Source organism: Homo sapiens, chromosome 3 (assembly GCF_000001405.40).
Source record: "Homo sapiens chromosome 3, GRCh38.p14 Primary Assembly".
Classification (NCBI taxonomy): Eukaryota; Metazoa; Chordata; class Mammalia; order Primates; family Hominidae; genus Homo; species Homo sapiens.
Window position 1 is genome coordinate 8,675,917 of NC_000003.12, and position 15,255 is coordinate 8,691,171.

General features: G+C 49.6%; 1 protein-coding gene and 1 pseudogene across 22 annotated transcripts in view; one reads left to right on the forward strand and one right to left on the reverse strand.

Moving 5' to 3' along the window:
• SSUH2 (ssu-2 homolog) overlaps window positions 1-6,011 on the reverse strand; it is a 62,542-nt gene extending 56,531 nt beyond the window's left edge. For 18 of the 22 annotated variants that reach the window (XM_017006528.2, XM_017006523.2, XM_017006513.2 and 15 more), the window contains exons 1-2: window positions 3,789-3,952; window positions 1,290-1,437 (exon numbers count right to left, since the gene is read on the reverse strand). The gene's annotated coding sequence lies outside the window, so the exon portion shown is untranslated. Of the gene's footprint in view, window positions 1-1,289; window positions 1,438-2,330; window positions 2,528-3,788; window positions 3,953-5,974 lie in introns of those variants that run through there. The other 4 variants (XM_047448236.1, XM_047448234.1, XM_047448237.1 and 1 more) reach the window with 4 other exon arrangements.
• OR7E122P (olfactory receptor family 7 subfamily E member 122 pseudogene) lies at window positions 12,318-13,238 on the forward strand (annotated as a pseudogene).

Genomic DNA, 15,255 nt, shown 5'->3' on the forward strand with positions numbered 1-15,255 from the left:
CCCTAGCTGAGGCCAGTGGCCTACCTCTCTAAACAACTAGACGGGGTTTCTAAAGGATGGCCCCCCGTTTGAGGGCCTTGGCAGCAACTGCCCTGCTAGTACGAGAAGCAAATAAGCTGACTCTTGGGCAAAACCTGAACATAAAGGCCCCCCATGCTGTGGTGACTGAGAGCCAGCCCCTCTTCCCCGCCTGGCTCTTAGGATCCACGGTGGACTCACAGCCTGTTTACCATATTGTGAGTAATATCATCTCCCCCTCTGGAGATTATGAACTGTTTCACAGACGGGTGTACACACTCGGTGTACAGAGGGTGTACACCCGTCTGTACTGGGAGTAATATCATCCTCTTCCTCCCTGAATATTAAGAACAGTATCACAAGGGTGTTTCTACTCCCTGCGATATCGCGTGTCATATCCTCCTCTCCCACGTTGCAATTAGAAACAATATCAGTGGGGGCGAGTCCACCTTCTGTCATATTGAAAGTAATATCATCTTCTTCCCTCCAGGATCGTGGGAAAAATATCCCTGGGGGGTTTCCACTTTCTGCCATACATGTAGTCATATCACCCCCTCTGCCTTGGAATATTATTAAGGACCATCTCACACGGGGGTGAATACTTACTGCCATATTGGGAGTAATATCAACCTCTCGGCCTCTGAATATTAGGAAGAATATCACAGCGTGGGTGTACACATCGTGCTCTATTATGGGGAGTCATATCTGCCTATTATGGGGAGTAATATCATCCTCTCCCTTTCAGGATATTAATAACAATTTCACAGGCTGGGTGAACACAGCCTGCGATGCTGGAATTACTATCATTCTCTCCCCCTCTTCCCACCTGGATCTCAGGACCTCATCGCAGTGGGGGGAGGCACCCCCAGTGAGGCGGGGACTGAGAGCCAGCCCCTCTTCCCCACCTGGCCCTTAGGACCCCCATCGCAGGGGAGGAGGCATCCCCCGTGAGGCGGGGACAGAGAGCCAGCCCCTCTTTCCCCCCTGGCTCTTAGGACCCCCATAGTACGGGGGGAAGGCATCCCCCTGTGAGGCGGGGACTGAGAGCCAGTACCTCTTCCCCCCCTGGCTCTTGAGACCTCCATCGCGGTGGGGGGAGGAACCCCCCAGGAGGCGGGGACTGCGAGCCAGCCCCTCTTCCCCCTGTGGCTCTTAGGACCCCCATCGCAGCGGGGAGAGATACCCCCCGCGAGGCAGGGACTGAGAGCCAGCCCCTCTTCCCCCCCTTGCTCAGGACGCCCATCGCGGATCCTAAGATCCTTTGGACCCACCTGGAGGACTGTGGGTATTAGGTGTCCAAGAAGAAATCTCAGAGCTGCCGAAGGCAGGTACCTTACTTGGGATTTACTATCCAACAGGGGTCCGAACTCAGCAGCCCGGGATCAGAAAGAAAGCAGGTCATTTGCAATCTATCGGAGCCTAAGGGCAGAAGGCAGGTGAGAGAATTCTTAGGAGCTGTGGGGTTTTCTAGACTGTGGATCCCAAACTTTGCAGTATTAGCCAAGCCTTTCTATGAGGTCACAAAGGGGGCGGGGACCAGGAACCTTTGGAATGGGGATCCCAACAACAGCAAGTCTTTCATGAGTTAAAGGAAAAACTTCTGGCAGCCCCAGCCCTGGGGCTACCCGATCTGACACAGCCTTTTCCATTGTATGCATCAGAGAGAGAAAAGATGGCAGCTGGACTTTTAACCCAAACTGTGGGGCCCTGGCTGAGGCCGGTGGCCTACGTCTCTAAACAACTAGACAGGGTTTCTAAAGGATTGCCCCCCTGTTTTAGGGCCTTGGCAGCAACTGCCCTGCTAGTACAAGAAGCAAATAAGCTGACTCTTGGGCAAAACCTGAACATAAAGGCCCCCCATGCTGTGGTGACTGAGAGCCAGCCCCACACACCCACTCCACCACCAGCTCTCAGGATCTGCGGTGGACTCACAGCCTGTTTACCATATTGTGAGTAATATCATCTCCCCCTCTGGAGATTATGAACTGTTTCACAGACGGATGTACACCCGTCTGTACTGGGAGTAATATCATCCTCTTCCTCCCTGAATATTAAGAACAGTATAACAGGGGTTTTTCTACTCCCTGCGATATCGCGTGTCATATCCTCCTCTCCCACGTTGCAATTAGAAACAATATCAGTGAGGGCGTGTCCACCTTCTGTCATATTGAAAGTAATATCATCTTCTTCCCTCCAGGATCGTGGGAACAACATCCCTGGGGGTTTCCACTTTCTGCCATACATGAAGTCATATCACCCCCTCCGCCTTGGAATATTATGAAGGAGCATCTCACACCGGGGTGTATACTTACGGTGATATTTGGAGTAATATCAACCTCTCGGCCTTTGAATATTGGGAAGAATATCACAGGGTGGGTGTACACCTCGTGCTCTATTATGGGGAGTCATATCTGTCTATTATGGGGAGTAATATCATCCTCTCCCTTTCAGGATATTAATAACAAATTCACAGGCTGGGTGAACAGCCTGCGATGCTGGAATTATTATCCTCTCCGCCTCTATCCCCCCCTGGCTCTTAGGACCCCCATTGCAAGGGGGTGAGGCACCCCCCGCGAGGCGGGGACTGAGAGCCAGCCCCTCTTCCCTCCATGGCTCTTAGGACCCCAATCACAGAGGGGGGAACACCCCCCGCGAGGCAGGGACTGAGAGCCAGCCCTTCTTCCCCCCCGGCTTTTGGGACCCCCATCGCAGTGGGGGGAGGCACCCCCCGCGAGGCGGGGATTGAGAGCCAGCCACTCTTCCCCTCCTGGGTCTTAGGACCCCCAACGTGGGGGGGGGAGGCACCACACGCGAGGCGGGGAAAGAGAGCCAGCCCCTCTTCCCTCCCTGCCACTTAGGACCCCATCGCAGGGAGAGGAGGCGGCACTCCCCACGAGGCGGGGACTGAGAACCAATCCCTCTTCCCCCAGCCTGGCTCTTAGGATCCCCATTGCAAGGGAGGGAGGCACCCCCCGCCAGGCGGGGACTGAGAGCCAGCCACTCTTCCCCTCCTGGCTCTTGGGACGCCCATCGCAGGGCGGAGAGTCACCCCCCGCGAGGTGGGGACTGAGAGCCAGCCCCTCTTCCCCCCCTGGCTCTTAGGACACCAAACGCAGGGGAGGAAGCACCCCCCGCGAGGCGGGGACTGAGAGCAAGCACCTCTTTCCCCCCTGGCTCTTAGGACCCAAATTGCGGGGGGGAGGCACCCCCGCGAGGCGGGGACTGAGAGGCAGCCGCTGTTCCCCCACACTGGCTCTTGGGACCCCCATCGCAGGGGGGATGGCACCCTCCGTGAGCGGGGACTGAGAGCCAGCCAATTTTCCCCCTGGCTTTTAGGACCCCCATCGGAGGGGGGGAGCCACCCCCCATGAGGCGGGGACTAAGAGCCAGCCCCTCTTCCCGCCCCTTGCTCTTCCGACCCCCATCGCATTGGCGGGAGGCATCCCCCAGGAGGAGGGGACTGAGAGCCAGCCCCTCTTCCCCCCCTGGCTCTTAGGACCCCCATCACAGCGGGGGGAGGCACCCCCCGGGAGGCGGGGACTGAGAACCAGCCCCTATTCCCCCCCTGGCTTTGGGACCCTCATCGCAGGTAGGGGAGGCACCCTCAGCGAGGCAGGAACTGAGAGCCAGCCTCTCTTCCCCCCCTGGCTCTTGGGACCCCCATCGAAGGGGGTGGAGGCACCCCCGGTGAGGCGGGGAATGAGAGCCAGTGCCTCTTCCCCCCCTGGCTTAGGACCCCCATCGCGGATTCTAAGATCCTTAGGACCCACCTGGAGGACTGTGGGTATTAGGTGTCTAAGAAGAAAGCTCAGATCTGCGGAAGGCAAGTACCTTACTTGGGATTTACTATCCCACAGGGGTCTGAACGCAGCCCAGGATCAGAAAGAAAGCAGGTCATTTGCAATCTATCGGAGCCTAAGGGAAGAAGGCAGGTGAGAGAATTCTTAAGAGCTGTGGGGTTTTGTAGACTGTGGATCCCAAACTTTGCAGTATTAGCCAAGCCTTTGTATGAGGTCACAAAGGGGGCGGGGACCGGGAACCTTTGCAAGGGGGATCCCAACAACAGCAAGTCTTTCATGAGTTAAGGGAAAAACTTCCAGCAGCCCCAGCCCTGGGGCTACCCGATCTGACAAAGCCTTTTCCGTTGTATGCATCAGAGAGAGAAAAGATGGCAGCTGGACTTTTAACCCAAACTGTGGGACCCTGGCCGAGGCCGGTGGCCTACGTCTCTAAACAACTAGACAGGGTTTCTAAAGGATGGCCCCCCGTTTGAGGGCCTTGGCAGCAACTGCCCTGCTAGTACAAGAAGCAAAGAAGCTGACTCCTGGGCAAAACCTGAACATAAAGGCCCCCCATGCTGTGGTGACTGAAAGCCAGCCCCTCTTCCCTCTCTGGCTCTTAGGATCCAAGGTGGACTCACAGACTGTTTACCATATTGTGAGTCATATCCTCTCGCTCTCTGGAGATTATGAACTGTTTCACAGATGGGTGTACACCCTCGGTGTACAGAGGGTATACACCTGTCTGTACTGGGAGTAATATCATCCTCTTCCTCCCTGAATATTAAGAACAGTATCACAGGGGTGTTTCTACTCCCTGCGATATCGTGTGTTATATCCTCCTCTCCCACGCTGAAATTAGAAACAATATCAGTGAGGGCGTGTCCACCTTCTGTCATATTGAAAGTAATATCATCTTCTTCCCTCCAGGATCGTGGGTACAACATCCCTGGGGGTTTCCACTTTCTGCCATACATGAAGTCATATCACCCCCTCCGCCTTGGTATATTATGAAGGAGCATCTCACACAGGGGTGTATACTTACTGCGATATTTGGAGTAATATCAACCTCTCGGCCTCTGAATATTGGAAAGAATATTGCAGGGTGGGTGTACACCTCGTTCTCTATTATGGGGAGCCGTATCTGTCTATTATGGGGAGTAATATCATCCTCTCCCTTTCAGGATATTAATAACAATTTGACAGGCTGGGTGAACACTGCCTGTGATGCTGGAATTATTATCATCCTCTCCCCCTCTTCCCTCCCTGGCTCTTAGGACCCCCATCGCAGTGGGGGAGGCAACCTCCAAGTGGCGGGGACTGAGAGCCACCCCCTCTTCCCCCGCTGGCTCTTAGGACTTCCATAGCAGGGGGGAGAGGCACCCCCGCGAGGCGGGTTCTGAGAGCCAGCCCCTCTTCCCCCCCTGCCTCTTAGGACTTCCATAGCAGGGGGGGGAGTCACCCCATGCAAGGCGGGGAATGAGAGCCAGCCCCTCTTCCCCCCCTGGCTCTCAGGACCCCCATCGCAGGGTGGGAGGAACCCCGTGAGGCAGGGACTGACAGCCAGCCCCTCTTCCCTCCCTGGATCTTTGGACCACCATCGCGGGGGTGGAGGCACCCCCCGCGGCTCGGGGACTGAGAGCCAGCCCCTTTTTTCCCCTGGCTCTGAGGACACCCATCGCAGGATGGGGAGGCACCCCCGGCGAGCCCGGGACTGAGAGCCAGCCCCTCTTCCCCCACTGGCTCTTAGGACCCCCGTCGTAGGGGGGAGGCAGCCCCCACGAGGCGGGGACTGAGAGCCAGTCCGTCTTCCCCCCTGGCTCTTCGGACCCCCATGGGGGGCGGGAGGCACCCCCAACGAAGCGGGGACTGAGAGCCAGCCACTCTTTTCCCCCGGCTCTTGGGACCCCCATCGCAGGAGGGTGAGGCACCCCCCGTGCGATGGGGACTGAAAGTCAGCCCCTCTTCCCCCCGGCTCTTAGGACCCCCATCGCAGCGGGGGGAGGCACCCCCTGGGAGGCGGGGAGTGAGAGCGAGCCCCTCTTCCCCCTCTGGCTCTTAGGACGCCCAGCACAGGGTGGGGAGGCACCCACCGCAGGGTGGGGACTGAGAGCCAGCCCCTCTTCCCCCCCTGGCTTAGGAACCCCATCGCAGATCCTAAGATCCTTAGGACCCACCTGGAGGACTGTGGGTTTTAGGTGTCCAAGAAGAAAGCTCAGAGCTGCCGAAAGCAGGTACCTTACTTGGGATTTACTATCTGACAGGGGTGGGAACGCAGCCCAGGATCAGAAAGAAAGCAGGTCATTTGCAATCTAGCAGAGCCTAAGGGCAGAAGGCAGGTGAGAGAATTCTTAGGAGCTGTGGGGTTTTGTGGACTGTGGATTCCAAACTTTGCAGTATTAGCCAAGCCTTTCTATGAGATCACAAAGGGGGCGGGGACCGGGAACCTTTGCAAGGGGGATCCCAACAACAGCAAGTCTTTCATGAGTTAAAGTAAAAACTTCTGGCAGCCCCAGCCCTGGGGCTACCCGATCTGACAAAGCCTTTTCCATTGTATGCGTCAGAGAGAGAAAAGATGGCAGCTGGACTTTTAACCCAAACTGTGGGGCCCTGGCTGAGGCCGGTGGCCTACGTCTCTAAACAACTAGACAGGGTTTCTAAAGGATGGCCCCCCTGTTTGAGGGCCTTGGCAGCAACTGCCCTGCTAGTACAAGAAGCAAATAAGCTGACTCTTGGGCAAAACCTGAACATAAAGGCCCCCTGTGCTGTGGTGACTTTAATGAATACTAAAGGACACCATTGGCTAACGAATGCCACACTCACCCAGTACCAAACTTTGCTCTGTGAAAATCCCCATATAACCATTGAAGTTTGTAACACCCTACACCCCGCCACCTTGCTCCCGGTATCAGAGAGCCCTGTCGAGCCTGATTGTGTAGAAGTGTTGGACTCAATTGACTCTAGCAGACCTGACCTCCGGGACCAGCCTTGGGCATCAGTAGACTGGGAACTATACGTGGATGGGAGCAGCTTCTTCAACCCCCAAGGAGAGAGAGGTGCAGGGTGTGCAGGGGTAACCCTGGACACTGTTGTTGAAACCAGGTCGTTGCCCCAGGCCACCGCAGCCCATAAAGCTGAACTCATTGCTTTCATTTGGGGCGTTAGAACTCAGTGAGGGTGAGACTGTCAACATTTACACTGATTCCCGGTATGTCTTTTTAACCCTTCAAGTGCATGGAGCGTGATAGAAAGAAAAAGGCCTATTTAACTCTGGGGGAAAAGACAGAAAATATCAACAAGAAATCTCGCAATGATTAGAAGCAGAGTGGAAACCCCACAAGGTGGCAGTTATGCATTGCAGAGGACACCAGCGAGCTTCCACCTTGCTGGGTTTGGGGAATTCCCGCGCTGACTCAGAGGCTCGAAAAGCAGCATCTGCCCCCTTTCGGGCATCAGTGCTCCCTCAAGCACCTGATCTTGGACCTACTTCTTCTAAAGAAGAAAAGGACTTTCTCCAGGTAGAGGGAAGGACAAGTGATGGAGGAAGGATGGATTCGGTTACCAGATGGGAGAGTAGCTGCGCCACAGTTGCTAGGAGCTGTAGTTGGACAAGAAACCACCCATCGAGGTCAGGAGTCACTGGAAAAGTTGTTAGGCCAGTGTTTCTACATCTCACATTTGTCAGCCCTTGCCAAAACGGTGAGGCAGCGGTGTGTTACCTGCCGACAGCATGATGCGAGGCAAGGTGCAGCCGTTCCGCCCGGCATACAAGCTTATGGAGCAGCCCCCTTTGAAGATCTCCAGGTAGACTTCACAGGGATGCCAAAGTGGGGAGGTAACAAGTATTTACTAGTTCTTGGGTGTACCTACTCTGGGTGGGTGGAGGCCTATCCAACACGAACTGAGAAAGCTCGTGATAACCCCTGTGCTTCTTCGAAATCTGATTCCTAGATTTCGACTGCCCTTACGGATCGGCTGAGATAACGGACCTGCGTTTTTGGCGGCCTTGGTACAGAAGACGGCAAAGGTATTGGGGATCACACGGAAACTGCCTGCCACCTCCCGGCCTCAGAGTTCCGGAAAGGTGGAATGGATGAATCGGACTTTCAAAAATAGTACTATTGTCTTCCCCGCTGGATATTTAAAACAACACCACAAGGGGCATCAAACTACCTGCTAAATTTGAGGGAATGTTATCCTCTCCCCACCTCCCCCGGCCCCGGATATTAGAGACAATAACACAGGGTCAATGTACACCCACTGTTTTATTGGGAGTAATATCATCCTCTCCCTTCTTGGATATTAGGAACAATATCACACTGTACGTGTACGCCTGTCGCGAAATTCAATGGAATGTCATCCTGTGCCTCCCTGGATATGATGAACAATATCACGGGGGATGTACAACTTCTGAGATATTGGGAGTGATGTCATCCTCTCCCCTCTGGAAGTTAGGGACAATATCACAGGGGTAGTGTACACCCTCTAGGATGTGGGGACTAATATCCTCCCGCCCACTGGATATTAAAAACCATATCACAAGGGGCATGTACACACACTTCGATATTGGTATTAATACCATCCTCTCCCTCTTTGGATATTCGGTGCCATATTTCAGGTGGGGTATACACCACCTGCAATATTGGAAGTAATATGATTTTCTCCCCCCCGGATATCAGAAACAATATCACAGGGAAGTGTCAGCAACTCCTGCGATATTTGGAGTAATATCATCATCTCCCCTCACGAATATTAAGAACAATATCATAGGGGTGGGGGGTGTACACCCCCTTTCATATTTGGTATCATCCTCTTCCCCCCCTGGATATTAGGAACAATATCAGGAAGGGATGTACAGACCCTGAGACCTTTGCTGTCATAGAACTGTCTCTCCCCTAGATATTAGGAAAAATGTCACTGGGGATGTGAACAGCCCTGCGATATTGGGAGTAGTATCATCCTCTCCCCCCCTTGCATATTGGGAACAACATCACAGGTGGGGTGTACTGCCTCTGCGATATTGGGAGTAAAATTTTCCTCTCTTCCCCTGGACATTAGGAAGGGTATCAGAGGGGGAGGGTGTACATTCCCTGCGATATTCAACATAAGCTTATCCTCTCCCTCCCAGGGTATTCAGAACAATAGGACAGGAGGGGTGTACACCCTCTGCGATATTGAGAGTCATATCATCCTCTTTCGCTCTGGATATTAGGAACAATATCACAGGGTTGTGTACACCCCCTGCGATATTGGGAGTGATATCATCCTCTCTCCCTGTGGATATTAGGAAGAGTATCACAGGGCTGTGTAAACCCCCTGCGGTACTGGGAGTAATATCATCCTCTCTCCCTCTGGATATGAGGAAGATTTTCCCAGGGGTGTGTACACCCCCTGCGATATTGGGAGTAATATCATCCTCTCCACCCAGGAAATGACTAACAAGGTCACGGTGGGGGGTGTACTCCCACTGTGACATTGGGAGTAATGTCATCCTCCCCAAACCTGGATGTTAGCAACGAGATCACAGAGGGGGTGTACACACCCTGTGACATTGGAAGTAATATGATCCTCTCCCCACCTGGATATTGGGAAAGATATCGCAGAGCGGGTATACATTTCCTATGCTGTTGGGAGTGACATCATTCTTTTCCTTTCTGGATATTAGGAAGAATATCACAGGGGTGCTGTACAATTACTTCGATATTGGGAGTAATATCATCCTCTATTTTCCTGGATATTGGGCACAGAAACACAAAAGGGTGTACAACCCCTGCGATATTGGGAGTAATAGCATACTCTCCTTCCCTGGATGTTAGAAAACAATATCCTCAGGGCTGAACACCCCCCGCGATATTGGGAGTCATATTTACTCCTTCACAGGCCATTTGGAACAATATCATGGGGGGTGTTTACAAACAGGGGTGGTGTACACCCCCTGTAATATTGGGAGTAACATCATTCTCTCCACCTCCAGAAATTAAGAACAATATCCCGGCGGGAGTTGGTACACCCCCAGTGATATTGGGAATAATGTCATCCTCTCCTCCCCTGGATATTCAGCACAGTATCACAGGGGGGTGTACACCTTCTGTGATATTGGAAGCAACATCATCCTCTTCCCCGCTGGATATTAGAAAAAATATCACTCATCGTGTACACCCACTGTGATATTAGCAAGAATATTAGAGGGTGTACACCCACTCGGACTTTAGGAGAAATAGCTCCCTAAAATGTCACAAATAATATCACAAGGTATACAGTAATATCTCCCTAGGATATGACAAATACCATCACAGGGTGCACACCCACTGTGATAACAGGAGTAATACGTCCCAAGGATACTACCAATAATATCACAAGGCCGTACACCCACTATGACACAGGGAGTGATATCTCCCTAGGATATTACGAATAACATCACAGAATGTACACCCATGGTGTGCACCCATGGTGATATTAGGAGTAATATCAACCCAGGACATAACCAATAACACCACAGGGAATACAGACATGATGTACACCCACAGTGATGTTATGAGAACCATCTCCCTAGGATAATACCAATAACATCACAGAGTGTACACACACGGTATACACCCACTGTGGCACTAGGAATAATAACTTTCTAAGATATTATGAATAGCATCAGAGAACATAAACACACGGTGTACACCCAGTGTAACTTTAGGCATAATTTCTCCCTAGGATATTGCCAGTAACATCTCACTGTGTACACACGTGGTGTACACCCACTGTGACATTAAGGGTAATATCCCCCTAGGATATGATGAAAAACATCACAGGGCGTCCACCCATGATGTACACACACTGTGATGTTAGGAATAATATCTCCCTGGGATATTACGAATAATACCACAGGGTGTACAGAAACTGTGATATTAGAGGTAATGTGTCTCTAGGATATGATGAATAATATCACAGGGTGTACACCCACTGTGATACTGGGAGCAATATCTCTCTAGGATAGTACGAATAATATCACAGAGTGTACACCCACTGTGATATTAGGAGAAATATCTCTCTGGGATATTACGAATTATATCACAGAGTGTACACACATGGTGTACACCCACTTTGATATTAGGAGTAATATCTTCCTACGACATTACAAATAACATCGCAGAGTGTACACCCACTGTAATATTAGGAATCATATCTCCCTAGGTGATTACAAATAATATCACAGGTTGTACACTCACTGTGATATTAGGAGTAATATCTACCGAGTAGATAACAAAGAACATCACAGGGTGTACACCCACTTTGATATTAGCTGTAATATTTTTCTAAGTTGTTACAAATCATATCACAGGGTGTACAAACAGGGTGTACGCTCACTGTGATATCAGGAGTCATATCTCCTTAATATATTATGAAAAATATCACAGGGTGTACACCCACTGTATTATTAAGAGTGATATCTCTGTAGGACATTACAATTAATATCACAGGGTGTGCAGCCACTGTGATATTAGGAGCAACATCTTTCTAGGATATTACAAACAATATCACAGGGTGTACGCCCACTCTGATGTCAGGAGCAATATCTCCCTAGGATATCCAAAATAATACCACAGGGTGTCCAATCTCTGCCTTCCAGGCTCTAAGGGATTCTCCTGCTTCAGCCTCCCGAGTAGCTAGGGTTACCCCGCCACCACGCCCGGCTAATTTTTTTTTATTTTCACTAGAGACGGGGTTTCACCACGTTGGCCAGGCTGGTCTGGAACTCCTGACCTCAGGTGATTCGTCGGCCTCGGCCGCCCAAAGTGCTGGGATTACAGGTGTGAGCCATGGTGCTCGGCCAAGAGTTATATATTCAATTCATTTGGAAACACAGCTCCCATATTTGAGTGTGCATGTACTTTATGAAGAAATGATGTCAGAAAACCTAAGGATGATAATAAATATGAAAAGTAACTGGCATGTTAAAAGGTCTTCCGATTAAGAACTCTAAGGTTCAATTTCATTTTTACATAATGCGGTCCTAGCTCTTGTATCATCCTTTTACATATTCCACATCAAAGGAATTTGTAGCACGGTGTCAAAATAAAATAGAGTGTATTTCGCTGCTTCTTAATTTCTTTCAATTAGGCTGAGATCTTTTTCTTAAAGAGAGAAGAGCATCTTCACTGCATTTTATTTTTTCTGAAAAGAGTAGGCCATATTTTACTGAGATCACGGATTTGTTATATATGACATTTTGGTCTTCTAACATTCTTCAGTGGATTTTCTCTAAAGTAGTATGTACAGAAGGAGTTGAAAAGAAAAAAGTAAATCATGTAATAATTCTGAGATTTTTGGGTTTGTCACAACTGAGAAATATTGCTGACGGTGTATGGTCCTCAAGTGTGAAAATGTTCCTTGTGAATTGTTTGCATCCAAAATATACACACAGCATTAAGGGCTGGTTTTTATCTTTTATTTTTCCAATCCTCTTTTCTTCCCAGGGTGTCCAAGTCACAGCCACGGAATCTCACAGATGTCTGAGAATTCCTCCTCATGGGACTCTCAGAGGATCCAGAACTGCAGCCCGTCCTCGCTGGGCTGTCCCTGTCCATGTGTCTGGTCACGGTGCTGAGGAACCTGCTCAGCATCCTGGCTGTCAGCTCTGACTCCCACCTCCACACCCCCATGTACTTCTTCCTCTCCAACCTGTGCTGGGCTGACATCGGTTTCACCTCGGCCACGGTTCCCAAGATAATTGTGGACATGCAGTCGCATAGCAGAGTCATCTCTTATGTGGGCTGCCTGACACGGATGTCTTTTTTGGTCCTTTTTGCATGTATAGAAGACATGCTTCTGACTGTGATGGCCTATGACTGCTTTGTAGCCATCTGTCGCCCTCTACACTACCCAGTCATCGTGAATCCTCACCTCCGTGTCTTCTTAGTTTTGGTGTCCTTTTTCCTTAGCCTGTTGGATTCCCAGCTGCACAGTTAGATTGTGTTACAATTCACCTTCTTCAAGAATGTGGAAATCTCTAATTTTGTCTGTGAGCCATCTCAACTTCTCAAGCTTGCCTGTTCTGACAGCATCATCAATAGCATATTCATATATTTCGATAGTACTATGTTTGGTTTTCTTCCCATTTCAGGGATCCTTTTGTCTTACTGTAAAATTGTTCCCTCCATTCTAAGGATTTCAACATCAGATGGGAAATATAAAGCCTTCTCCACCTGTGGCTCTCACCTGGCACTTGTTTGCTTATTTTATGGAGCAGGCATTGGCGTGTACCTGACTTCAGCTGTGTCACCACCCCCCAGGAATGGTGTGGTGGTGTCAGTGATGTACACTGTGGTCACCCCCATGCTGAACCCTTTCATCTACAGCCTGAGAAACAGGGACATTCAAAGCACCCTGAGGAGGCTGCTCAGCAGAACAGTCGAATCTCATGATCTGTTCCATCCTTTTTCTTGTGTGGGTGAGAAAGGGCAACCACATTAAATCCCTACATCTGCAAATCCTGCCCCTTAGTCACATTATTTTTGTGGCTTGATGGCTTTTATTCCTTTCTGCATTTCCTATGTGAATATTGTTTTCTTCGTTATACCTTTCACTGGAATGGGTGAGGATTCTGGGATCCTTTGTTTAGCAGAAACCTCATGACTGAATCCTCTATACCTAGGTGGCCTCCTTTAGTTTCTGAGCAATAACCCTGTCATCCAGGTGGAATCACAACCATCTTTTTATATACGTGAAGTCCTCACTTCATTTTGGAATTCCCTGAAAATTGCCTTTATGGAAACAATGTACAGCAGGTCCTCCAACACCATTGGTGCGTTCAAAGTTGTGTAGTTATAATGTTGGTGAGGAATAAGTGGTTTCACTATACCTAATTTTGCTTCAAGGTGAAGTTTCCAAGAGACTTTCAAAGATGTTAAGTGAGGACATACTGTACATCAAATTCATATCCTCTTCCAGAGTTCATGTGGAATTTCTTTATAAACTGCTTCTAGAGAATCTATTTAGGCAGGTTATGTGTAGAGATCCATGTCACCCGTCCTCAATCTTGGCTTTGAGTCAAATCACCTGGGGAGCTTACAAATGCTGAGGCCTGGGTGCCATTACCTGAGATTCTGATTTCCCTGCACCTGTGTGAGTATGTGGATTTTTTTTTTTTTTTTTTTTAAGCACCAGAGGTGGTTGCAATGACGAAGTTTTTAGAGGCATCAAGCTCCAATTAGTAAGAACAGAAGTTAATTGTAATATGATTTCTTCAAATATTATCTTCAAATGCATTGTCCATCAACACCATACAAATGTTTATTATGCTGTTGTTTCTTACCATTTAGCATTTTCTATTTTTTTCTTTTTTCTTTTTTTTTTCTTTTTGAGACAGAGTTTCACTCTTGTTGCCCAGGCTGGAGTGCAATGGCACGATCTCGGCTCACTGCAACCTCTGCCTCCCGTATTCAAGAGATTATCCTGTCTCAGCCTTCCAAGTAGCTGGGATTACACGCATACGCTACCATGCCCGGCTAATTTTTTTTTTTTTTTTTTTGTATTTTTAGTACACAGAGTGGTTCTCCATATTGGTCAGGCTGGTCTTGAACTCCCGACCTCAGGTGATCCGCCTGGTTCCACCTCCCAGTGTTCTGGGATTACAGGCATGAGCCACCGCGCCCAGCCACCACTTAGCATTTTCATTTTACATTTGTTGAAATTATAGATTTATACACACTTTGATTGCTGTTTTGTTATACACTTGCATATACATAAGATGTGAAATAGAAAAGAATAAAATGGGCACAGTATCCCTGAAGTTTCACATTCTGAGACATTTTAAAAATATTTGCTCTTTAGAAATTTGTTTCAATTGAGAAACTGTGGTATACACACCCAATGAAGTATTATTCAGCCTAAAAAGGAATAAACAAAATCCTCTTCATTGCAGACAAAATGGATGCGATTGCAGGTCTGTATATTAAATGAAATAAGCCAGGCACAGAATGACAAATATTTCATATCCTCACTTCTATGTAGGAACAAAACAGAAAATCTTGGCCAGGTTTGGTGGCTCAGGCCTGTAATCCCAGCACCGTGGGAGGCCGAGTCACATGGATCACTTGAGGCCCAGAGTTCGAGACCCGCCTGGCCAACATGGTGAAATCCCGTCTCTACTGAAAACACAAACAATTAGCCGGGTGTGGTGACACGTGCCTGTAGTCTCAGCTACTCGGAGGGCTGAGGCCCAAGAAGCGCTTGAACTCGGGAGGCGGAGGTTGCAGTGAGCCCGGATTTTGCCTGTATACTCCAACCTGGGCAACAGAAAGAGACTCCATCACACACCTACACACAAAAGGAATCTCAGGAAGGTGGAAAGTATAAAGGTGGTTAGCAGACGCTAGGAAGAAAAGGGGTGGGATGGGGAATGAAGAGAAGTGGATAATTGGGTCCCAAAATACAGAAAGATGGAATAAGTGAGTTCTAGTGTTTG